At 51.2% G+C, this 23,740-nt stretch overlaps 1 protein-coding gene across 1 annotated transcript in view, besides 13 other annotated features; it reads left to right on the plus strand.

The window, feature by feature from the left end:
- Nucleotides 1-23,740, plus strand: part of COL4A2 (collagen type IV alpha 2 chain) — a 205,926-nt gene that overhangs the window by 163,768 nt on the left and 18,418 nt on the right. Inside the window, exons 29-39 of the mRNA NM_001846.4 lie at nucleotides 1,878-2,099; nucleotides 6,952-7,113; nucleotides 9,169-9,339; nucleotides 11,465-11,608; nucleotides 13,854-13,976; nucleotides 14,604-14,785; nucleotides 18,394-18,457; nucleotides 18,660-18,734; nucleotides 20,182-20,289; nucleotides 21,019-21,126; nucleotides 22,160-22,231. Coding sequence (NP_001837.2) covers nucleotides 1,878-2,099; nucleotides 6,952-7,113; nucleotides 9,169-9,339; nucleotides 11,465-11,608; nucleotides 13,854-13,976; nucleotides 14,604-14,785; nucleotides 18,394-18,457; nucleotides 18,660-18,734; nucleotides 20,182-20,289; nucleotides 21,019-21,126; nucleotides 22,160-22,231 — 1,431 coding nt within the window. The remainder of the gene's footprint in view (nucleotides 1-1,877; nucleotides 2,100-6,951; nucleotides 7,114-9,168; nucleotides 9,340-11,464; nucleotides 11,609-13,853; nucleotides 13,977-14,603; nucleotides 14,786-18,393; nucleotides 18,458-18,659; nucleotides 18,735-20,181; nucleotides 20,290-21,018; nucleotides 21,127-22,159; nucleotides 22,232-23,740) is intronic.
- Nucleotides 455-554: an enhancer, noted in NCBI's record as "active region_7995". NCBI's record gives its function as "activates an Ori minimal core promoter by ATAC-STARR-seq in GM12878 lymphoblastoid cells {active_cell/tissue: GM12878}" and the evidence as "EXISTENCE:reporter gene assay evidence [ECO:0000049][PMID:35858748]".
- Nucleotides 625-864: an enhancer, noted in NCBI's record as "active region_7996". NCBI's record gives its function as "activates an Ori minimal core promoter by ATAC-STARR-seq in GM12878 lymphoblastoid cells {active_cell/tissue: GM12878}" and the evidence as "EXISTENCE:reporter gene assay evidence [ECO:0000049][PMID:35858748]".
- Nucleotides 875-924: an enhancer, noted in NCBI's record as "active region_7997". NCBI's record gives its function as "activates an Ori minimal core promoter by ATAC-STARR-seq in GM12878 lymphoblastoid cells {active_cell/tissue: GM12878}" and the evidence as "EXISTENCE:reporter gene assay evidence [ECO:0000049][PMID:35858748]".
- Nucleotides 1,045-1,184: an enhancer, noted in NCBI's record as "active region_7998". NCBI's record gives its function as "activates an Ori minimal core promoter by ATAC-STARR-seq in GM12878 lymphoblastoid cells {active_cell/tissue: GM12878}" and the evidence as "EXISTENCE:reporter gene assay evidence [ECO:0000049][PMID:35858748]".
- Nucleotides 1,913-2,487: an enhancer, noted in NCBI's record as "H3K27ac-H3K4me1 hESC enhancer chr13:111125311-111125885 (GRCh37/hg19 assembly coordinates)". NCBI's record gives its function as "activates a minimal SCP1, AML or CMV promoter by ChIP-STARR-seq in naive H9 embryonic stem cells {active_cell/tissue: H9 hESC(naive)}" and the evidence as "EXISTENCE:reporter gene assay evidence [ECO:0000049][PMID:30033119]".
- Nucleotides 3,643-4,281: an enhancer, noted in NCBI's record as "H3K27ac-H3K4me1 hESC enhancer chr13:111127041-111127679 (GRCh37/hg19 assembly coordinates)". NCBI's record gives its function as "activates a minimal SCP1, AML or CMV promoter by ChIP-STARR-seq in naive H9 embryonic stem cells {active_cell/tissue: H9 hESC(naive)}" and the evidence as "EXISTENCE:reporter gene assay evidence [ECO:0000049][PMID:30033119]".
- Nucleotides 4,852-4,961: an enhancer, noted in NCBI's record as "active region_7999". NCBI's record gives its function as "activates an Ori minimal core promoter by ATAC-STARR-seq in GM12878 lymphoblastoid cells {active_cell/tissue: GM12878}" and the evidence as "EXISTENCE:reporter gene assay evidence [ECO:0000049][PMID:35858748]".
- Nucleotides 13,182-14,020: an enhancer, noted in NCBI's record as "H3K27ac-H3K4me1 hESC enhancer chr13:111136580-111137418 (GRCh37/hg19 assembly coordinates)". NCBI's record gives its function as "activates a minimal SCP1, AML or CMV promoter by ChIP-STARR-seq in naive H9 embryonic stem cells {active_cell/tissue: H9 hESC(naive)}" and the evidence as "EXISTENCE:reporter gene assay evidence [ECO:0000049][PMID:30033119]".
- Nucleotides 14,021-14,858: an enhancer, noted in NCBI's record as "NANOG-H3K27ac-H3K4me1 hESC enhancer chr13:111137419-111138256 (GRCh37/hg19 assembly coordinates)". NCBI's record gives its function as "activates a minimal SCP1, AML or CMV promoter by ChIP-STARR-seq in naive and primed H9 embryonic stem cells {active_cell/tissue: H9 hESC(naive and primed)}" and the evidence as "EXISTENCE:reporter gene assay evidence [ECO:0000049][PMID:30033119]".
- Nucleotides 14,859-15,696: an enhancer, noted in NCBI's record as "OCT4-NANOG-H3K27ac-H3K4me1 hESC enhancer chr13:111138257-111139094 (GRCh37/hg19 assembly coordinates)". NCBI's record gives its function as "activates a minimal SCP1, AML or CMV promoter by ChIP-STARR-seq in primed H9 embryonic stem cells {active_cell/tissue: H9 hESC(primed)}" and the evidence as "EXISTENCE:reporter gene assay evidence [ECO:0000049][PMID:30033119]".
- Nucleotides 15,697-16,533: an enhancer, noted in NCBI's record as "OCT4-NANOG-H3K27ac-H3K4me1 hESC enhancer chr13:111139095-111139931 (GRCh37/hg19 assembly coordinates)". NCBI's record gives its function as "activates a minimal SCP1, AML or CMV promoter by ChIP-STARR-seq in naive H9 embryonic stem cells {active_cell/tissue: H9 hESC(naive)}" and the evidence as "EXISTENCE:reporter gene assay evidence [ECO:0000049][PMID:30033119]".
- Nucleotides 20,640-21,175: an enhancer, noted in NCBI's record as "H3K27ac-H3K4me1 hESC enhancer chr13:111144038-111144573 (GRCh37/hg19 assembly coordinates)". NCBI's record gives its function as "activates a minimal SCP1, AML or CMV promoter by ChIP-STARR-seq in primed H9 embryonic stem cells {active_cell/tissue: H9 hESC(primed)}" and the evidence as "EXISTENCE:reporter gene assay evidence [ECO:0000049][PMID:30033119]".
- Nucleotides 21,176-21,710: an enhancer, noted in NCBI's record as "H3K27ac-H3K4me1 hESC enhancer chr13:111144574-111145108 (GRCh37/hg19 assembly coordinates)". NCBI's record gives its function as "activates a minimal SCP1, AML or CMV promoter by ChIP-STARR-seq in primed H9 embryonic stem cells {active_cell/tissue: H9 hESC(primed)}" and the evidence as "EXISTENCE:reporter gene assay evidence [ECO:0000049][PMID:30033119]".

The raw sequence follows: 23,740 nt of genomic DNA on the forward strand, positions 1-23,740 counted from the left end.
AGTGTCTAAATATTTAGAAGTGTAACATTGCCACTCTCATGATTTCATATATACTAAGTTTAAGCATTCATGATTTTGAGAGAAGGATAATAATTCCTGAACAGCTTCTTGCTGTGAGTATGAAAGTTCTCTGGTAATTGTGATTGGAGTGCCCAGCCATGTGTGCGTGAACGCCACACGGGGCTCCCCTGTAGGGGGGAATGGATGGGATGCACCCATTATCAGGTGATTTGGACAGTTGCCCACGTGAGTTGGGAGCCTGTTCCACCATCAAATGTGAGCCCTTACGTCATGAACAGGGAGGCTGGGGCAGGCTGGGGGTGGGTGGTGATTGAGGAACTGATCAGTTTCTGAAACGCATGTCACTTTTTATGGTGCTGAAATATACTGCCCTTCTGTCGCCACATGCAGAAGAGGATAAAATGCCCAATTCAAGGATTGCAAAAATCAGAGAGTCTATTCCAGATCTAAGACCCACACATGCAAACCCAAGTGCATGGCTCCCTGGGTACAGTTTGTAACATTGCCAGTGAAAGTCATGTCTCTTCATTGTGAGTAAATCACACCGTTAAAACTCTGAGTACGGTCTAGCTGATTAACGTCAGGTTAATCCAGATCCTTTATTCTGTATTCCAGTTACTCCCAGCTCCCAGGCAGTGATGGCTTTACCGGCCCAGGAGGTCCCCGGGCCCTGCTCATTGGATCTTTTTGGTGGGATACACCCCACAGAACACAGAAAACATTCCCTTTTCCGTATCCATACATAGGAGTGCCGAGCCTGCCGTGTACTTGATCTTGTCCCACAGAATCACCTGCCAGTCTCATCGTTGCAGGCTTCTCTCCTGCATGCACAGCGGGGGTGGTGGTGACCTCAGAAGCCTTTCCTTCTGAGCACTGCGTGACTGTCAGCTGTGGGAGTTCATTCTGAGGCCATGTCAGGGCTGACTGCACCGAAAAAGGAAGTGACCTGATGAGATCATTTTATCCAGTGGCACCCACAAAAGACACAGGACAGCTGCCTTCCCTCCATCCGCAGATGGGACTTGATGATTTTCTTTTTTCTTTTTATTTTTTTCTCTTTTGAGATGGAATCTCACTCTGTCGCCCAGGCTGGAGTGCAGTGGTGCGATCTTGGCTCACTGCAAGCTCCGCCTCCCGGGTTCACGCCATTCTCCCGCCTCAGCCTCCTGAGTAGCTGGGACTACAGGCATCCGCCACCACACCTGGCTAATTTTTTGTATTTTTAGTAGAGACGAGGTTTCACCGTGTTAGCCAGGATGGTCTCGATCTCCTGACCTCGTGATTCACCCGCCTCGGCCTCCCAAAGTGCTGGGATTGGGACTTGATGATTTTCATGGTCAATACAACAGAGGGGTGTCGTTCCTCTTTGAAGCGTTTCCCAACCGACAGTGACGGGTTTCTACCAGGGAGATGTTACGGCAGGCAGCGTTTTGGCTCTGACGGCCCTGTTCGTTCCTGCCTCCCTGGGATTTTCCATCCCGAAGTGCTGTTCCTCACTCAGCACAACCTAGAAGGTCCCACAAAAAGCTATTCTTTGGGGCTTATTTGCAAAGCAGGGGAACCCATGAATTATGCAAATCGAGGTCCAAGGAGGCGTTGTTGGCTTGTCCACCTTCACTCAGTTTTAGGGCTGGGGGGCCGAATGGCGGGGCAAGCAGAAGAAACATAACCAACAGAACGACATGGCGAAGGTTGTAGGTTCCAAAAAGGGCGACAGGGACAAGGGCTCGAGCTGAGGAATGCCTTCTGAGGACCCCATAGCCAAATTTTTGCTGTTTCCAGCCTCTTTTTGACTCTTCTCTTAGAACGTCACCATGCTAACTTGTGGTTTGGGGCCCACCCATGTTTCCTTTTAGGGTTCATAGGACCCCGAGGATCCAAAGGTGCAGTGGGCCTCCCTGGCCCAGATGGATCCCCAGGTCCCATCGGCCTGCCAGGGCCAGATGGGCCCCCTGGGGAAAGGGGCCTCCCTGGAGAAGTCCTGGGAGCTCAGCCCGGGCCACGGGGAGATGCTGGTGTGCCTGGACAGCCTGGGCTTAAAGGCCTTCCCGGAGACAGAGGCCCCCCTGGATTCAGAGGTGAGTGCCCCATCGGGGAGCCGGGGGCCCCATCCCAGATGCACAGTGGCCTCCAAGGGCGACCCCAATCCCTTCCGGGGGATTTGGTAGGAAGCAGCGGTGCCCTATAGTGCTAGCCATGCGTACCTTCTCCCATGGCCTTCCAGCACTCCTTTAGAATGTGTCTGTCACAACACTGTGACTACCCACGGTAGCCAGTGCGATCTGGCCATCTGAGAACTTTGACAGGTGTGGATTCACTGATGTAATCTGTTGTCAAGTTGCATATGCCTGGCTGTGACAGGGGCCGTGACAGGCTCACTGTTTGTCTTGGCAGAATCTGTACAGGTGGTATGAAGAAAAGATGGGCCCTGGCCATGCTTAGTCAGAGGTGAAGAAGGAAAATAGAAATAATCTGGAATGCAATTCTATTGGTGTAAAAATTAATACATTTTTTAAAATGTCTTAATGTTGTTTACAGTGTTATCAATGTATCTCTATCAAAGTAGACAGAGCATCCCTGGTTTCATGAGTGACAAGGCACCCGGTGGCTTTAAGGGTTCAACTGATGCCAAATCGGCTTTGGGAACCCGAGCCCCGAGCTTTAATGAAAGATGATGCCATGGACAGCAAATGTTCACACTGGGTGAACCCCAGGCTGGGGATTGCTAGATCATTGCAACCTGCCATTCAGTGTTCCAAATCAAAAATGAGGCTGAGCACAGTGGCTTACACCTGTAATCCCAACACTTTGGGAGGCCAAGGTAAGAGGATTGATTGAGCCGAGGGGTTCAAAACCATCCTGGGCTACATAGGGAGACCCCATTTCTACAAAAAAAAAATAATAATTAACTGGGCATGGTGCTGTGCACCTGTAATCCCAACTACATGGGAAGCTGAGGTGGGAGGATTGCTTGAGCCCAGGAATTGTAGATTGCAGTGAGCTATGATCATTCCACTGCACTCCAGCCTGCGTGACAGAGTGAGACTCTGTCTCAAAAAGAAAAGAAAAGAAAAGAAAATGTGGGTTAAAACTGTGACTCGGTGCATTCACTGTTTATCTGTTGATGGCATTGTCGTTAGTCCCTGCTGCCAACCCCAGCCCGAAGAGGCTTCTCTGTGGTGTGGGAAGCAGGTGTCGCTCCCCTGATTCTGCCATCAGCCCACATCAGGCATCCTAAGCGAGATGGAGGCTAGGCCTCCACTGGCAGGCGAACCCATGAAGCTCAGGAGCATGAATTGGTTTTCGGATGAGCCTGTGAGATTCCTAGCAAGGCCTGGAAGGGTTGGGACCCAGGACAGGGGAGTTTTGATGATGATGAGACTGATCAGTGCCCCCAGCTGTTGATACTAGGGAGCGCCCATGGGTGCCACAGTTCACTGAGAGAGCAAGGAAGAGCCTAAGATGGCCAGAGTGCATGCATGCACACACACACACACACATTCACGGTCACACTCATGCACATGCATGCTCACACATGATCACATACACACATGCAGATACCTACACACGTGCCTATGCATGCTCACACATGATCACACTCCTTACACACGTACCCACACACGTGCCTGTGTACACTCACATGATCACACACGCACGTACCCACACACGTGCCGTGCACACTCACACATCACACACGCACGTACCCACACACGTGCCTGTGTACACTCACACATGATCACACATGCACGTACCCACACACGTGCCTGTGCATGCTCAAACATGATCACACACTCCATACACACACGTACCCACACACGTGCCTATGCACACTCACGATCACACACATGCACATACCCACACACGTGCCTGTGCACACACGATCACACACACGTACATACCCACACACGTGCCTGTGCACACTCACACATGATCGTACACTCATACACACACGTACATACCCACTCGTGCCTATGCACGCTCACACATGATCACACACTCACATACACACACGTGCCTATGCATGCTCACACATACACATCCAACCCTGAACCAAGCCAGCTAGAGCAGGTTGTTGGGTGAAATTACGAGGATGGGGAGGCCTCGTGCTCGGCCATCCAGATCTCCCCTTTCCAGTCCTACTGACTCTCCAGGTCATTTATGGAAGATAAGATGCAAATCAGCGCTGTCTGCAGAAACTGAGGACTCGGCGCTGAGAGGTGGGGCTCTGTGTGTCAGCCTTCCTGGAAGGCACTTAAATGAGTTCACAGAAGGCAAAGTGAAGGACATACGTAGGTGACTCGAGTGTCCACCATCGACCTGTTCTGCAACCCAGCTGTCAAAATCCTGCCCCAAGCTCTTTGACATAAGGGTACTTCTGGTAGAATTTTTTTAAAACTTAATTACTTCCTGCAGGCTTCAGAATGTTTGAGCATGAAAACAAATGGAAGCAGGCTTACTTTCGATGTCTTATTAAGGTCTTTACCATGATCAATGTTACCTTTATGACAAGCTTCATATGCCTTGTTAGGCAGAATGTTTTGGATGGTAAAAATCCTGACTCCCAAAGCATCAACATTCCAAGTAACTACTTCAGTTTCAGTTCCGCTCACCAGTGCTACAGGAGCAGCGTGCAGCGGGTCCTGCTTCCATTCGACTGGCTGTGCAGGACGGCCACAAACACACGCAGGTGCACCCTGCGCTTCTGAGCAGAACTCTCGGAATGAAGTAATGCAGACGTCCACAAATGAGATGTGATTTCACTGAGGGAGGCTGATTTTTAGCAGTTGTTCCTTTTTTAACAGATAGTCTATAAGTGGAAACTGACCTGAAACATTCAGCTCTAAAGAAATAATCACAAAGCACCTCGGTGCCTGATTTTTGCAAGGCAGTCCTTGCCGGAGGATCGGGCATTCGTGCACATTCACCCGGAGACCGTGCTGTCCACTTCCAGAAGGGGAGGAAGGGCAGCGCTCAGAAGCACGCCCAGACTGTCTCCAGCCCTGCTGCCCCCTGCTGAGGCCATCTCGCCTGCTCAGCCCCCAAGTTCCCCCACAGTCCATGTCCCTGGGTTATGAATGTCACCTGGTGTCTGTCAGATCCCCACCCCATTGTTCTTGTCAATGAGCAGGAGTGGGGTGGACCTGCCATCGCTGCGAATCCTTTACAGCCTGCAGTGCTGCCTGCCAACTCTTCACAACCATTAGCACCCACTAACAATCCATTTCCCCTGGAGCTCTTCACTCTAAAGATAGAAGACCAAAAAATAGAAGTGTCCTCATTTCTCACAGTACTACAGGAGGAGGTGAGAACCGATGCATCCGTGCATCTTAGAGAATCTCATTTCAGACCTCGGCTTCGAGTGCGCCTCCTGCTCAGTCAGCCCTCTTCCTCGCTGCAGGTTGACGTGGTCAGACAGTGCGCAGTCAGCAGCCTGACTCTCGGTTCTGGGTTGGTCCAAGACTGACCGGGTCCCTTTTGTCACTGCCCCCTCCTGTGCACCCCCCTGGCTTGTCTGCCTCCCTGTCCTGGACCAGCCCTGCACACCTGCAGGGTGGCTGTGAGGCTACGTGAGTGTGTGGACTGTAAAGTGGTGGCAGGAGTGTGCACCTCCGGTGTTAATAATCGGAGAGCAGCTGCGACAAGCGTCAGGCTCACGAAGAGAGGGGGAAATGCCTGAATATAAGGAGGTCCAGGGAGCTAGTGTTAAAAACTAGAAGAAAACAGATGCCCTTAGTGTCTGACCACTGGGCAGGACAGGATATTCCAAACTTAAAATGAAGAGAAGAAATCACACATGTGCACACACACCCACACACACACCATATGAAGTTTGAATACAAAGGTTAGTATCCTGCATGTGGAAAGCAAAATTAAACTTTGAGCAGCAGAATAAACTTTACAATAGATATGAAGGAAAATTCGTCAGTGTATATGAGGAATACTAAAATCTATCAGGAAAATATAAAACTCCCCAGAGGAAAATAGGAGCAAAGAGGCCGGGCACAGTGGCTCATGCCTGTAATCCCAGCACTTTGGGAGGCCAAGGCGGGCAGATCGCATGAGCTCAGGAGTTTGAAACCAGCCTAGGCAACATGGCAAAACCCTGTCTCCATTTAAAAAAGAAAGAAAGAAAGAAAAGATATGAGCAAAGAACTAAAACTTCACCAAAATCAATAACCAGGAGAAAGAAACGTAGATCATAATGAAGAACAAGCAAGCGGATCCCCCGACACCACGTTTCACTGCATCATGACTGCCAGGGTTCCATTTTGCTTCAGTGCTAACGCTCAGTGCTGGGGAAACACTGGTAGAATAAATGGGTTTAGACTTTCTGAATCAGTGCGATGTATCTTTTAAACAACATTAAATTAGTGTTTGCTTTGATACACGATGTCAGTTTCTCAGGCAGTTTCCTAAAGAAATTACCTACGACATGGACATGGATAAACATAGCAAAAAAAGAAAACTCCCCAACTATTCCTGACAGTGCTGTTTGCAAAAGTGAAAAAAATGGGGAGGATGCGATGGAATACATTCAATGTGTCCAGATGATAGAGTTTTATTCATGTAGTTATTTTAAATGTTTGCAAAGACTATTTTTAAATGTGGCAAAATGTTCAAAATATAATGTCAAGTGAAGAAAACTAGGTTAAAACTATACTTATAGTGCCATGTCAACTCTGCAAATGTCTAGTTATTTATAGGAATAGACAAGGGCAGGAAGGAAATTCCCAGTGGTAGTCATTACCGCTGGGTGATGGTGTGCCTTACCTGATTTTATCCTTTATACTTCTTTGTGTTTTCCTGATTCTCTAGAGTCCAGAAAAGCATGAATTGCTCTTTTTACAGAATGAGTGTGTGGAGGGAGATGCTGTCTGTGATGAACAGTCCAGAGTTGGCCCCCACAGCTCTTGTCTCTGATTCCTGCAGGAAGCCAAGGGATGCCTGGGATGCCAGGGCTGAAGGGCCAGCCAGGCCTCCCAGGACCTTCCGGCCAGCCAGGCCTGTATGGGCCTCCAGGACTGCATGGATTCCCAGGAGCTCCTGGCCAAGAGGGGCCCTTGGGGCTGCCAGGAATCCCAGGCCGTGAAGGTAAGACCCCAGCCCTCCCATAAACGAGTGGGGTCCTCACTGGTCCTGCCAAGAGAATGAGCACTGTCTTCTTGTGGAGCTCTCAAAGTCTGTTCCATGGAACCCCTTAAGAGGTGCAGGGGTTCCCAAACCAGAACATGTATTTCACCTAATAAGGAGACACAAACAGCCTGAGACATCGGCTCATCCTCTGTACCTGTTGTATATATTAAGGATCTAGGGAAGGTCTCATCGGGAAAAAAGAAAAAGAAAGAAATTCCCCCTACAAAAGTTCAGAATCACTGCTCTGATGTGGAGAGGAGAAATGGTTTTATGAAAGTGCAGGGTGTGGGTTGGAAAGGCAGGTGGCTCCGTCAGGGAAACCTGGGGTAGATGGGCTGGAGCAGAGGAGCGGGGAGGGGAGGCTCGGCTGCATGCCCACCACACAGGCCAAGGCAGGTGGCAGAGGTGGCCCAGAAGGCAGGCAGGGCACAGCATCCATGGGCATTGCCCACCACTGCCCAGGCCGCTCTCCCACACTCAGTACAGCCAGTTCCCAGACTCCTACACTTCACGGTCCAGGGAAACTGTCAGTGCTGGTTGGAGGAATCAATGTACTTTCCCCCCTTTTTGTTTTGTCCAGAAAAACAGCTTTTTAAGGAAGTGTTGTATGTCACCAAAGGACACCGTAACTGTAAAGTGGGAAAGACGCAGTTGCTTAATAAGGAGTTGTCTCCATGGAAACTCTCAATCTTACTATAGTTCTCTGGTTTGCCACAGTCAGGCAACAGCTTTGTCCAGGACCTTAGCAGATCTTGGTAGGGAACTGCCACTCCACTTGAAGATACACACTGGCTTCCCCCATGTGGGGCCTCGCCTGTGTCCAAGAGCTGGGGGCTGGACTCAGGTAGGGCCCGCTCCCCTATTGCCGCACTAGCCACTGGCTTCCTGGGGTAGCAAACCTGGACCGGAGGTTCAGGCTCCTATCTCAGTATCGACAGGGCCGTGCTGGTTCTCAACTACTGAGAATCAGCTGAACACAGCGTCGTGTGGTGCTTACGAGACCCATGGGAAAGCCTGTCCTGAACTAAAGCCTACACTTTAGGTGGGGAGAGAGACACACACATTAAAAGGCTCCCACTTGGCCTGGGCAAGCCAGCAGAGTGACAAGGCCACGCGGTCCCCGGTGACCCAGAGGAGGCGGGGACAGGCAGGTCAGAGCAAGCCCAAGGGGAGAAGTACCTGGTGCCAGCGGGGAGAAGGCTGGGACTGGAATGTGGGGTGCTCTCTAGGAAAGGGGGACCACCCCAGCAGAGGCAGAATTGCCCAGGGAACACTTTGGAGCCTGTGATCCCCAAACCGGCTGGGGAAGAGAGCCTGATTTGAGGGGGCTGGGGGTTTAGATAAGAAGATTGAGCCAAAGGTTGGGAGCAGTGAATGCTGGAGCTAAGGAGTTGGAGCCCCGAGGCAGAGGGGGCCTTTGGGAGTTTTTAACAGAGAAATGCATTAAGAAGGGATTTTAGGGACCCAGCAGGCAGCCCTTGGACGGCTTGGAGTCGGGGGAGGCGGGAGGACAGCTGTGGGCGGGAGCTGCCAAGCTCACGACAGTAGCAGTGATGAGATGGGAGCACGGAGACCAGAGAGGGCAGCAGCAGCAAATGGGCAGCTGGAGGGTCCCCCGGGACTAACTCCGGGCTGGAGCCAGTGATGTTCGCGAGGAACAGGCCAGCTCTTGACTAACCCCAGTGACCATGCCCCAGCCAGAGCTGGCAAGGCCCCCACTCACATCAGCATCCACACAGCTTTGTCCCTTGGCTTCTGAAGACTGCAGTGGGAAAGCCATGCTGGCTGGCACCCCGCCAGCACAGCCTCAACCTCCAGATACAGACCTCTCCAGAAAGGCCAGCCCCAGGGTCCCGCTCCGGCCACACTTTGGAAACTCACCCCAACATGGTGGTTTTCCACTTTCCTTCTAAGGAGCTTTTCTTACTGAACACTCAATGCCGTAAAAGCAGAAGAGAAATTTCCCCTGTGTGTGTTTGTCCACCCTGTTTGATTTGCTCCTCTTCCTGACAGGTCTGCCTGGTGATAGAGGGGACCCTGGGGACACAGGCGCTCCTGGCCCTGTGGGCATGAAAGGTCTCTCTGGTGACAGAGGAGATGCTGGCTTCACAGGGGAGCAAGGCCATCCAGGAAGCCCTGGATTTAAAGGAATTGATGGAATGCCTGGGACCCCCGGGCTAAAAGGTAATTGTGTGACTGTGACCAGGGATCCCTTGGCGGGGAGGTTGGGTCTAATCAACTCTGACCTGAGACAGCTCTGCTGGGCGCCTCTGTGGGCCGTGGGGCTGGCCTCACACTTCTGCAGATTGGAGGCCTTGGGACTCTCCTGACCTAGGAGACAGCAGCCTCAGGACAGCTGGTTAATGCTGCTTAGACGCGGGTGGGACCAATGTGCCTCACAAAGCCAGTTTATGAATTTACCAAGACAAACTGCTCCTGCCTGGGAAACATCGTCTTATTGTAAATATCACCATCTGCACAGGGAAATTTGTGGAGAGGTCCACTCAGGGGCCTAGATTCAGATCCAGAGGTTATTTGGTGAATTTGAAACCAAAGCAAAGCAAAGTGGTTGGTTACAGGGATAGGTTTATTTCAGCACAAGCAGGCCAATCTAGAAGCAGAGCCCTCCAGCCCATGAACGTTGCTGGAGACACACTGTTCTTCCATTGCTGGAGACACACAGTTCTGTCCTTCCATTGCTGGAGACACACTGTTCTGTCCCTCCGTTGCTGGAGACACACTGTTCTGTCCCTCCGTTGCTGGAGACACACAGTTCTGTCCTTCCATTGCTGGAGACACACTGTTCTGTCCTTCCGTTGCTGGAGACACACAGTTCTGTCCCTCCATTGCTGGAGACACACTGTTCTGTCCCTCCGTTGCTGGAGACACACTGTTCTGTCCTTCCGTTGCTGGAGACACACAGTTCTGTCCCTCCATTGCTGGAGACACACTGTTCTGTCCCTCCGTTGCTGGAGACACACTGTTCTGTCCCTCCGTTGCTGGAGACACACAGTTCTGTCCTTCCGTTGCTGGAGACACACTGTTCTGTCCTTCCGTTGCTGGAGACACACTGTTCTGTCCTTCCGTTGCTGGAGACACACTGTTCTGTCCCTCCATTGCTGGAGACACACTGTTCTGTCCCTCCGTTGCTGGAGACACACTGTTCTGTCCCTCCGTTGCTGGAGACACACTGTTCTGTCCCTCCATTGCTGGAGACACACTGTTCTGTCCCTCCGTTGCTGGAGACACACTGCTGTGTCCCTCCGTTGCTGGAGACACACAGTTCTGTCCTTCCATTGCTGGAGACACACTGTTCTGTCCCTCCGTTGCTGGAGACACACTGCTCTGTCCTTCCATTGCTGGAGACACACTGTTCTGTCCCTCCGTTGCTGGAGACACACTGTTCTGTCCCTCCGTTGCTGGAGACACACTGTTCTGTCCTTCCGTTGCTGGAGACACACAGTTCTGTCCTTCCATTGCTGGAGACACACTGTTCTGTCCTTCCATTGCTGGAGACACACTGTTCTGTCCCTCCGTTGCTGGAGACACACAGTTCTGTCCCTCCATTGCTGGAGACACACTGCTCTGTCCCTCCGTTGCTGGAGACACACTGCTCTGTCCCTCCGTTGCTGGAGACACACTGCTCTGTCCCTCCGTGCTGGAGACACACTGCTCTGTCCCTCCGTGCTGGAGACACACTGCTCTGTCCCTCCGTGCTGGAGACACACTGCTCTGTCCCTCCGTGCTGGAGACACACTGTTCTGTCCTTCCGTTGCTGGAGACACATTGGTCGGTCCTTCCATTGCTGGAGACACATGGGTTGGTCTTTCCATTACTAGAGACATATGAGTCTGTCTTTCTGTTGCTGGAGACACCTTGACCTCTCCTTCCGGTGCTGGCGACATTGGTCTGACTTTCTGCGGTCCTGTGTCGCATCTCCATGCCAGGTGCAGTGTTACTGCTGCCTTCCTTTCCAGCGTGCTCCTCTGCCTTTGTCTTGATGGGCCTGTGGGCCAGTGAACCTGCATCATCTTCAGATTTCCCTCCTAGCCTTCCTGCCTGATCTTTGTGTGTTTCCTTGTTGCCAATGTCCGGTCTGAAGACAGGCTGATTCTGGAATGCTGTCTGTTAACAGCAGAGGTCAACAGAGAGAAGTTGCTTAGAAGATGGTGTCCCCGGAAATCCCTATTTTAGGTTCAGAATCTTCTCACTTGAGTTACATTGCCGAAATGTTACGGAGACGTGAGACTGAAATGTCCCATGCATTTTATTCATGTCTAACCCAGCACTTTTCTCTTTTCCTCTGAAGGAGATAGAGGCTCACCTGGGATGGATGGTTTCCAAGGCATGCCTGGACTCAAAGGGAGACCCGGGTTTCCAGGGAGCAAAGGCGAGGCTGGATTTTTCGGAATACCCGGTCTGAAGGGTCTGGCTGGTGAGCCAGGTTTTAAAGGTATGTCCCTCTCTTAACATCCTCCTTACCTGGTCATGGTGGCATCCTCCTTACCCTTTCTTGGTGGCATAACATTGCCCAGAATGAATTTTTGAAAACCCATGCATCCAGGAACCCTAAAGCTAGACAAAACAAACAAAATGAGCTAACAAAAACTCAAAGGCTTTATCCCTGCCTCAACACACTGACCATGTGATAAGGGAATAATCCTAACCAAAGGAAACTCTTGAGAACCAAAATGATGGCATCGCTAAGAACCAAATATGTCATGAAACATATTCCACCATGATTATACCGTGGTAAACATGAAGAGGGGGCGGTGAAAAGCAGGGGACAGGTGAGTTCCCAGAGAAGGGAGTACCACCAGGCACAGGAGGACACAGCTTTCCAGGTGGAAGGACATAACACGGTGCCAGAGAGAACGTGGTCCACACATGAGGTGGGTTCAAACCCTCACGCGGACAGGCATCTCAAGACCCCCCACGTAAGGCCCCTCGTTCATTGAGTTTATTACTAACAAGTCACATTTTCATGACTTCTGTTCAGATGCTTTTGTTCTGAAATAATCACAGTGGTCTCTAAAAACGTAATGACTAAGAGTGTGTGTTGGTGAGGAGGTGGAGAAATGGGAACCTTCACAGGCTGCCAGCAGGAGTGTAAAACGCTGCGGCCAGTGTGCCAAACAGTTTGGCAGTTCATTAAGAAACTAAGCATAGAGTTACCCAGAAGTTCTACTCCTAGATGAAGATCATTGAAAACATAGGTACAGACAAAAATGTGGACACAAATCTCATGGCAGCATCCTTTATAGCAGCCATAATTGGAAACAGCCTGAAAATGCATCGACTGATGAATGGATGAGTAAAATATGGCAGAGCTGTGCAAGGGCACATTCAGTGCTGAGGAAGGATGGGGCTCTCAGACATGGCGCGTGGGCGAGCCTTGAGAACACTATGCCACGTGTCGTCTGACTGCATGTATATGAGATGTCCCCAGTAAGCAAGTTTACAGAAATGAAAAGTGGATTCGCAGTTTCCTACACTTGATCTTAGCCAAAAGGCCGAGAAGCGATGGATTCGCAGTTTCCTAAAGCTGAAGGGTTAGGGGAGAATTAGGGCATGGCTGCCAGCGGCTCCAGGGTTTCATTTTCTGGGATAAAGTGTTCTCAAGTTAGACGGTGCTGCTTGCTCACAGCTCTGTGAGTACACTAAAGTTATGTAATTGTTCTGTTTACTGGAGCGAGTTGTAGGGTATATAAATTATACATCAATAAGCTGTTTTGGAAAACCTTAATTACTCTTCAGACTTACAGCTTTTACAAATTTTCAGCAAAATAAAAATTGCAATCTAGGGTGCTCATTTTTTTTAAGATTTTTACTCACACTTGTGCTTTCAAATAGTCTTCCTGTTAGCAGAGATTTCAGGCTATTTCAGGCAAAAAAAAAAAATGACATTTTAAGATTAAGTAATTTTCAGCTCCATGGTAATTATTTCCTCGAGCCTCCTTAGGGTGAAGTTAACCATGGGGGTGTCTGTCCCTCCACTGGTGGGCACGCTCTGTGGGGTCAGGACCAATTTATGATTTTGATCCCATCAGCCTCTAGCCTAGTACTGAATACACAGTAAATGCTTAGAGACTGAAGCTCAATTATTTTCACTGAGCCAGATTTCACTTACTCCTCCAGTGAGCATGGATTCCGGGGCATCCCCAGCCTGAACTAGCACAGTTTCCCGCCCGGCCCGCAGCTCTGGGCCCCTCCCCTCCTGCAATTTCTCAGCTCCTCAGAACCCCCCGGAGACCTCCCTTCCATGCTTCTCCTCCCTGTGAAGGTGCCTACAGGAGGGCACGGAGCTGGCGCCTGCCTCACGGGCCTTCCTGCTTGTGACCGAGGTCCATCATGGTCTCATCAGAGCACACACAACAAAATGACCTTCTCACAAAGCATCCTATGGGAGTCACACTGGCTTTGACCGCTCCCTCTGCATCTGCTGGCAGGCACGTCCCCCTACTGTGGTGCTGTGTGCTCAGTGACACCAGCCCCAGGCCCAGGACCCTGGAGCCACCCCCAACTCCAACTACTCCGATGGACACAGGAGAGGCTTCTCCGGCGCCCTTGGTCTCTCTCCAAGGCTTCCCTGCTTGGGGGAGACGTGCAGCCCTATGGCTCAGGGACCAGGCCTTCACCTGTGTTCTCCTGCGTGGTCTGGAGCCCCCAGAAAATGACAGCACTCTATTCCCTTCCAGGCAGCCGAGGGGACCCTGGGCCCCCAGGACCACCTCCTGTCATCCTGCCAGGAATGAAAGACATTAAAGGAGAGAAAGGAGATGAAGGGCCTATGGGGCTGAAAGGATACCTGGGCGCAAAAGGTGAGGCTTCTGACCTGCAGCCAGGGGCCCCTAGTCCCTGCCGCCCCAGCCCGCACCAGCTCGTGCCCTTCTCCGTCCCCAGAGACGCCCGTGCCCTCCACCTGGCTTTCTTCGTGCTTTTCATCTCTGGGCGCCCTGTGTGTCCATAGCTGGCGCAGGGTTGTTCTCTGATGCCTGAGTAACCTCGGTTTCCCATCTTAAGATTTGCAGCACTGGCCGGGCGCGGTGGCTCACGCCTGTAATCCCAGCACTTTGGGAGGCCGAGGCGGGTGGATCACAAGGTGAGGAGATCAAGACCATCCTGGCTAACACGGTGAAACCCCGTCTCTACTAAAAATACAAAAAAATTAGCCGGCATGGTGGTGGGCGCCTGTAGTCCCAACTACTTAGGAGGCTGAGGCAGGAGAATGGCGTGAACCGGGGAGGCAGAGCTTGTAGTGAGCCGAGATTGCGCCACTGCACTCCAGCCTGGGCGACAGAGCGAGACTCCGTCTCAAAAAAAAAAAAAAAAAAAAAAAAGATTCACAGCACGTAGGACAGCAAAATGCATCCAGGCTGCAAAATTGAAAACTGGAGGGCGGGTGCTGCGTCCTCACCAGAGTGTTACACACCAGGGTCTTCCTGCAGGTATCCAAGGAATGCCAGGCATCCCAGGGCTGTCAGGAATCCCTGGGCTGCCTGGGAGGCCCGGCCACATCAAAGGAGTCAAGGGAGACATCGGAGTCCCCGGCATCCCCGGTTTGCCAGGATTCCCTGGGGTGGCTGGCCCCCCTGGAATTACGGGATTCCCAGGATTCATAGGAAGCCGGGTGAGTGGGCGTCTTTTACTCCCCTTGTTCTGTGAGCTCCTCTCCCCTTTGCTTGTGAATGGACATGCTTTGGTCTGGAATTTGCTAGGGTGAGAGTGTCAGTGGCAGGTTCAGGGCAGCCTCAGGCTTGGTGGGGTCCACACAGCCCTGGAAGGAGCTGCTGCACTTGGACACCATGCAGATGTGATGTGAGTCCAACCGGCTGCCGTGGCCCTTCTGTGGGCTTGTGCTGGGTGAAGCATGTTGTCTGCATTTTTCATGGTGGCCTTGAGAGAACAAAACTTGAATTTTCAGGGATCAGAGCTCTAAAATTGAGCACATCAGTGACACCAGGCCTGAGAGCCCATGGCCGAATCACAGCGTAGACCTGGGCCCGGCAGCCTGGCTTCCCATCCGGGCCACCGTTCACTCAGCCTTTGTTCAGCGGATGTCTGTTGAGCACTTGACATGGGCCAGACACGCTGTTGTGATGGTAACAATGGTGAGCCCTGACCCTGGGCAGGGCTCTCTTCTCCACACCTTCTCCCTCAGCTGCAGAATGAAGGTAGTAGCTACCTTGCAGTTTTCTTGAGTGCTGTATAGACAGTGTGTATAACATAGCACAGCGTGGCTCCCCATAGATTCCGTTTCCTAGAATTCCATTTCTAGCCTCGTTCATATGAAGATAGTGTATTCTCACAGTCCCTAGCACACGGCTGGCCTTCCCAGGGGGATGGGCACATTTGGAGCAGATCAGAAGGTCTGGGCCCCTTGATGTGTTTCAGTCGCGTCCGTGTGAAAAGACCACCAAACAGGCTTTGTGTGAGCAATCAAGCTGTTAATTTCACCTGGGTGCAGGCAGGCTGAGTCTGAAAAGAGAGTCAGCGAAGGGAGATAGGGGTGGGGCCGTTTTATAGGATTTGGGTAGGTAAAGGAAAAAGGGGGGTTGTTCTCTGGCGGGCAGGAGTGGGGGTCACAAGGTGCTCAGTAGGGGAGCTTTTGAGCCAGGCTGAGCCAGGAGAAGGAATTTCACAAGATAATGTCATCAGTTAAGGCAGGAACAGGCCATTTTCACTTCTTTTGTGGTGGAATGTCATCAGTTAAGGCAGAAACCGGCCATCTGGATGTGTACGTGCAGGTCACAGGGGATATGATTGCTTAGCTTGGGCTCAGAGGCCTGACAGTGTGAACCCTTAGTAGCAGGCCAGGGCCTGCCTGTGTGTCTGTCTGGCCCACCTTGGTGTACAGAATTCTTCAGGGGTCTTCCTCCCCTCACTCCCAAAATCTGCAGCTGAGAGTATCTTCTAGCCAGTCTGTGTGTGCTATTCAGGTCACTTTAAAAAAGAAAGATGCCAGCCAGGTGCAGTGGCTCTTGCCTATAATCCCAGCACTTTGGGAGGCCAAGGCAGGCAGATCACTTGTGGTCAGGAGATCGAGACTAGCCTGGCCAACAGGGTGAAACCCCGTCTCTACCAAAAATATAAAAAATTAACCGGGTTTGGTGCTGCGCACTCATAATCCCAGCTACTGGGGAGGCCGAGGCGGAAGAATCGCTGGAACCCAGGAGGCGGAGGTTGCAGTGAGCCGAGATTGCGCCGTTGCACTCCAGCTTGGGTGACAAAGCAAGACTCCATCTCAAAAAAAAGACAAGAAAAAAGAAAGATGCCTGTTTCTGCCAAAGACACCTACAACATCCAAAGGACCTTTATTCATAACAGCTCGAAACTAGGAAACAGCCCAAATGTCCATCAACAGGGAAAAGAATAAATGAACGTGGTATATTCTAACCAGACACAGCATTATCTGTGCATTTTATCTCCATACACAGCAATAAATGAGAATTCTTGGTAAAATCCAACAACCTAACTTCATTTCCAAACTTTATGTTGAACAAAATAAACCAGAAACAGAAAAGTACACGATTCAGTTTCATCGATGTGAAGTTCAAGAACTGACAAGGCTGTTAGATGGGGTATCGGGAGCACAGCTGCTTTAGGTGGGGTTGTCATAGAGTGCTGACAGTGTTCTGTGTCTTTCAGTGACACACGAGTTCAGATGCATTGAGCTGTGCGTTTAAGATGAGTGGACATTACTGTATTTAAGTTTTGCTTCAGAAAAGTAAGCTTTGAGAAAGAAAAATAGAGCATTACCTAAACAAAGGTGCAGCCTGTGGATACCCTCCCCCTTCCTCCCACAAAGGAGCTTTTGTTTTGTTTTGTTTTGTTTTTTGAGACAGAGTCTCACTCTGTCACCCAGGCTGGAGTGCAATGGCATGATCTTAGCTCACTGCAACCACTGCCTCCTGGTTCAAGCGATTCCCCTGCCACAGCCTCCCAAGTAGCTGGGATTACAGGCGCACGCCACCACGCCCAGCTAATTTTGTATTTTTAGTAGAGACAGGGTTTCACCATGTTGGCCAGGCTGGTCTTGAACTCCTGACCTCAGGCAGTCCACCCACCTCGGCCTCCCAAAGTGCTGGGATTCTAGGCCTGAGCCACCACCCCCGGCCTAGCTATATTAATACTGCAGCGACTCATGTTAGGCCATGCTTGTACATTGATGCTGTAGTACTAAAGTCCCAGTGGCACCCAGGTAGACCAGAACTCTCATGCTCCCTCTGGGGAGGAAGCCACTCTGGAGGGGAAAACTAGGGCTTCCAGGAAGCCACCGAGCAACTCAGGCATCTTCTCAATTTCCTTACCAGCCACCTGTGTCTTTCTGGAGAAGTCTCCCTCTGTGCACAGATGGAGGCGCACAGCCCCATATCTGTGTTATAATCTGCAGAGAGCAAGCTCTGCAGTCTGGCTGCCCAAACTGAAATCCCGGTTCTGCCACTTGCTGGCTGAGTGACCTTAAGCAAAACCTTTCTGTGCTTCAGTTCCTTTGCCTGTCATTGGGAAGTAACGGTGCCTGCCTGGCAGGGTTTTCATGAGGCGTGAATACGCTCTTGAGACGGGGTCCACCATGTGCACGCGGGAAAGCATGGTGGAGCGAGGATGTAGTCAGAGTCACCGCCGCCGCTGACATCACCACACTGTCGTGATGGAGACCTGGGCCACTGATGCTCTTCATTATGATGCAGTTGCCAAGCTTGTTTCATTGTATCACTTCACAGTTCCATAAGAACAGCAAGGCCAGGTGCAGTGGCTCACGCCTGTAATCCCAGCACTTTGGGAAGCAGAGGAGAGAGAATCACTTGAACCCAGGAGTTCAAGACCAGCCTGGGCAACAGAGCAAGAGCCCATCTCTACTAAAAATTTAAAAACTATTAGCAGCCAGGCTTAGTGGCTCACACCTGTAATCCCAGCTGCACAGGAGGCTGAGACGGAAGGATGACTTGAGCCCAGGAAATCAAGGCAACATTGAGCTATGATTGTGCTTCTGCACTCCAGCCAGGGTGACAGACTGCGATCCTGTCTCAAAGAAATAAATAAATAAATAAACAAAAAGAACAGCTAAGCAAACCGCCTATGATACACACTAAAAAACACGAGTTTTCCACAAAATGACAAGATCACAAACCTTGAGTATTGTCGTTAGCATACTGGATAGTTAAATAAGTGAGCTAACTTCAGAGTTACAACTGACTTCGCTAACAGCCTTCTAAGATGGTTCATGTCTGTCTTTAGGGTGACAAAGGTGCCCCAGGGAGAGCAGGCCTGTATGGCGAGATTGGCGCGACTGGTGATTTCGGTGAGTGTTGCCCGTCCAGTGAAAACAGGGAGTCCACAATTCAGAGCTCTCTGAGCATGTGAGCCAATTTCAGACCTGCAAGTGCTGTTAGGTATTTTAAAACAAATTATTCTTGTTAGGAATATAACAAAATAGAAGTTGCAAAACTCACAAAGTCCCAGTGGAAAGTCCTGTTCTTAGCCGTCTTTTTTGCATGTAACAGGTGACATCGGGGACACTATAAATTTACCAGGAAGACCAGGCCTGAAGGGGGAGCGGGGCACCACTGGAATACCAGGTACGCAAGTTATTTTCCTTGTCTTCATCTTCAACAACAGCCCTGAGCCTTTGTCTAGGAGCCCGACTTGCCAAACAGATCAAATTCAGTAACAACCAGAAAGCACTTGATAGTGAATGAGGTCTTCAAGTCCAATGTGCAAGAAAGACCGTCGTTTTTAATTAAGTTAAATCTGAAGATAAAATCAGGAAGTCTTTCTCTCTCTCTGTCTCTCTCTTTGATACTGAAAAAAGCCAGAATGGACCCTCGGTGGATGAGAATCACTGCAGTCCATAAAGTGTAACTGATGAAAAGCCAGCTAGCACCCTGACTCCCGGAACACCTGAGGGCGTGCAGCAGGTGGTCGCTGACCCGAGCTTCTCAGAAACAGCGAAGGGTCCAGGAAAGGGGGAGTGGGAGTCAGGCCATCGCTTGAGAGAGATATGGAGGCAGCTGACCAGCCCGAGCGAGTTGTGGGGGCCTGGGGCGGCACAGTGCCTCCCTTCCCTTCTGCACATCACTGAGGTTCCACTCCTAAATTCCTGCCTGCAGTGACGTCTCAAGGGGACTGTGATAGTTTTCTTCTTTCTGGGGATTTTCTTTTGGGGGGACCCCACACTGCTCAAGTTGCTGGAGCCCCAGGGGCTTGCAGGGCTGGCCCTGGTGGGAGGGAAGGAGTCTGTCCAGGGTTGGCCAGTGGGGAGACTGCTGGGCCAGTTCTTTATCTAGAAATTGCTCTGGAATGGAAAGACGTGTTCAGTTGAGCACAGGATCAGAGAACCGCCGCTGGGAAATAGGCGCCTCTGTTTACCAGCCCTCCCGGGCTCCTTTGTTATCTGTGACCTGGGCTCCCGGTGGCTTCCTCCTGAGTGACGGGAGCTCTGTACTGCTGAGCCATCCGGCGCTGGGCTGGCTGTGTCTGCCACCCTAGGCCATTAGTCCGGCCATTTGGTTTATAAACACAGAAACGTGGACCATCATTACCACGCGTCTCTAATGATGCCTTCACTTGTTCAACTGAAAATGTGTCAGGGAAGAGACGCTACCCCCACCCAAGAATTATTTTTGCTGTTACCTTTGAACATTTTGGTTTTTGTTAAACTCTGGGCCCAGAAAGGCTTTGGAGTGGAGCCTCCCCTGCATCCATCACCAGAAGACGGTATTTCGGAGCTGTGGTCCCACAATGGAAGGGTGGGGCCAGCTGTACCCATCATCCCTGGGGGTGTCCTGTTTTCCCTAAGACAGTGAGGGGTGCATGGGTACATGGGTGCTGCCTTGGAAGCTGGCTAGTGCAGGCTCAGAGGGAGGAAGTAGGTTAAAAATCAGCTAAGGAAGGAGCACGGTTGGATGCCTCTCTCCATTCCTGAAGGAGCAGCAGTGTGGTTCTGCACATCCTAGAGCCGGGGTTCCAGGGAACCCACAGGGGCGCGGTGTCTGTTTGTTCCAAGCAGCATGTCTGTGGTTGCAGGTCTGAAGGGATTCTTTGGAGAGAAGGGAACAGAAGGTGACATCGGCTTCCCTGGGATAACAGGCGTGACTGGAGTCCAAGGCCCTCCTGGACTTAAAGGACAAACAGGTAAAATCTCCCGCAGCCACACAGCCTTCCTCAGGCAGGCCCTCCGGAGACCCCAGAACAAAGGCGGTCAACATTGTCAATTTCCTCCAATCACACCCAACCCTGGAAGCTCACTCGTGCCTGCTGCCAGCTTAGGAGCTTTCCTCAGTGCTGATGGCATGGAGAGAAACAACCACCTGGGCTGGGGGGAGACCTGAGAATTGGAGAGAAGCATGGGGGTGAATGAGAAGTGCCTCTTCGGTTGAGCCTCTGTCTCTCATATAGAAGCCGACGGTTTGTAAGGGATCCCTTTGCTTGCATTGAATATGCAGAAACCCCTATGAACATCCTAGGTTAGAGAAGGAGAGCGGACAGTGGGCTGGCTTCCCACGCTGTTGCTGCTGCTGCTTTCTGTGTTTACTCAGCACCGGGGAATGCCAAGAGGCTCATCTCTCCAGGCACTGCCTCAGGGTCCTCTCCAGACGTCTATTTGGATAATAGGGCGACAATTAAAACTACACGCTATTTTCTCTCTGGCAAGGCTGAGCAAATCCTATTGAATTTGTATGTGGGGTCTAAGACCACCTGCATCCCCAGCTTGAGGGACAGTTCTAATCTCTCCTCCAACTGGCACTGCGGCCCTTCCGGCCCTCGGCCCCTCCCAGAGCGGCTGCCCCTCCTGCCAGGACCTCACCACACAGCGCCCAAGGTGTCCTGTGTGCTCAGACTTAATGCTGTGTTCACCCCCAGGCTTTCCAGGGCTGACTGGGCCTCCAGGGTCGCAGGGAGAGCTGGGGCGGATTGGACTGCCTGGTGGCAAAGGAGATGATGGCTGGCCGGGAGCTCCGGGCTTACCAGGTAAGGTCACGTAAAACACGTGGTCACCCAGACCCAGAGTCGTGGGCTGTGCAGGAGGCACCGCTGAGCAGGCCAGCCTCTCTCAGGGCGACTTCTAAGGCCCATACGAGAGCAAAGGCAGGTCTGCTGTGGCTTACGGTGGTCTGCACCAACATAGCAGCACAGGGTATACTGGCGCCCCAGGCAACTGGGAATCAAGCCAGATGCACAAATCTGCCCAGGGCTTCACCTCCCAGAAGGATGAATGAAAGCCTCCCAGAGAGGCTTCAGGGTCCACTTGTCATCGCCACACAGGGACGCACAGCAAGATCAGGGTGCAGGAGCAGCCTCAGTGTACCACTGTGCTGCACGGGCCACCCCCGGGGCCTCCTTACAGCCCCGAGACGGGCCACCCTGCCATGCTCACTGCCCATGTAACAGAAGGAATTGCCACCTGTTTGCTGTGTCCTGCTTTAGAAATATTTACCCTCAGAAATCCAGAGGGAATGGAAATGACACCGGGCTATTTGTTCCAAGCAGCTTTTACAAACCAAACATACAGCAGTGGCGAGGCGTCAAGAAGAGGCATGGGACATGTCACTCCCCAGGCCCCTTCTGGCCTAGTGAGTCTGTTAAAAAGATTCTATGAAGACAGTGTTCCAGTTCAATGGTGTTCCTAGGTAACATAAGAGTGCTTAGTTTACATGTCGTGTAAGTTGAGCGTGTGGCTTAGCTGCTTCCTATTTGTGGGGCTTTAGCAGGATTGTATGGGTGACAGTATCAGGTGACAGTTTCAGAGCCAACAAAACACATCTGAGTTATCTTGAGGGTTTCTCCCACCCAGAACCCCCTGTGCTGTCCCACACATGAAATAACAATGAGTGACACCCCCACAGGTGAAATAACGATGAGTGACACCCCCATGGGTGAAATAACGATGAGTGACACCCCCATGGGTGAAATAACGATGAGTGACACCCCCGCAGGTGAAATAAATAACGATGAGTGACACCCCCGCAGGTGAAATAAATAACGATGAGTGACACCCCCGCAGGTTTTCCGGGACTCCGTGGGATCCGCGGCTTACACGGCTTGCCAGGCACCAAGGGCTTTCCAGGATCCCCAGGTACTCTGTGCCGTCCCAGCCCCGAGTCCCACGCAGAGGTGTCGAGGGTGGGGACTCTGTGCTGAGTCTGCCCTCCAGACTTCAGGGAATGGAGGGTCTCAGAGAGCAGGGTGGGCTTCCTGAAGTGCTATGCGATCGGCCGTGAGGGGCGGGTCCGGGCCCTGTGGTCCTGTACGCTGCTAAGATGTGATCCCTAAGAATCGGTTTCTCAAGGCAGTTGCTGGGTTGAATGGACTCATCAGGCTTTTAGACGGAGAGAGAAATAGAGTCCTTGCTTTTTCAGCAGCACCGTTGGGAGGGTGGGATGCACCTGCGCCCCTCAGGTGTCTGGAGTGTTCACTCTGCCCATTGCCTGTCTGTGATCTTTCATTTTGTTGGCCTAAGGAAGCCAGCGGTTTCCACCTGCCCCTGGGCAGTTCTGATGCTGGAGACAGTGATAGCGCTTGGGCACCCACAGGCTGGGAGCCAAAAACAACCAAAATGGGTTTCCTCCCAGTTCTGGAGGCTGGGATCAGCATGCCAGCGTGGTCGGGTTCTGGGGGGGGCCGCGTCCTGGCTGCTCGCTGTGTCCTCACGAGGGAGAGCACCCGCTCTCCCCTGTCACTTCTTATAAGGGCAGTAACCCCATCTTGGGGCCCCACCCTCATGACCTGGCCTAACCCTAATCACCTCCCAAAGGCCCCTGCTCCAAATGCCATCACACTGGAGTTAGGGCTTCCACTTAGGAACTTTGGGGTTGGGGAGAATGACACAATCAGTCCATAGCAAGGTGAACCAAGGGCTTCTTACCACAGGAAAAAGAAACTAACAACTTTCATAGCACTTTCTGGCTTATTTTATAAACTACTGTAGCACACATTTTTCCCTGAATGGGGATATAAAGACTCATTATTTCCAAAAGCCAATGGCAGAATAAGGTTTCCATCCTGAGCCCTTCCAGGGTATAATAACAGCAACTGGATGATCCTCAAAAGGATCATCAGACTTTCCCACAGAAGGCCTCCCTTTAACCCTGTCCTCCCCAAGAAGCTGAGATAGCATAGTGCAGGAAGGCTTGGCAGCTTCTTGGAACTTCTTTATTTTAAATTCAGCTATTTTCATCCTAAATTTTAATGTCCTTGTCTTTTCATTTAATTTTGAAATCTATTATAGGACTAATAAAATAACATTTGAAGGACATCAGGCACTAAGTGGGGAATCATTTTATTATTATGTCTTTTTTTCAAAAGATAACCTTGTTTTCTTTTCAATTTATACAAATTATTTATGTTCAGTGGAGAAAAAAAAATTAACACATTTAAACACATTTAACTCGGGAGGCTGAGGCAGAAGAATGGCGTGAACCCGGGAGGCGGAGCTTGCAGTGAGCCGAGATCGCGCCACTGCACTCCAGCCTGGGCAACAGAGCGAGACTCCGTCTTAAAAAAAAAAAAAATTAACACATTTAAGAGGAAAAAAAGACCCATAATCCTAAAGCTGCTTTTAGAATGTGCTGTTTGTAGACATTTC

Source organism: Homo sapiens, chromosome 13 (assembly GCF_000001405.40).
Source record: "Homo sapiens chromosome 13, GRCh38.p14 Primary Assembly".
Lineage (NCBI taxonomy): Eukaryota > Metazoa > Chordata > Mammalia > Primates > Hominidae > Homo > Homo sapiens.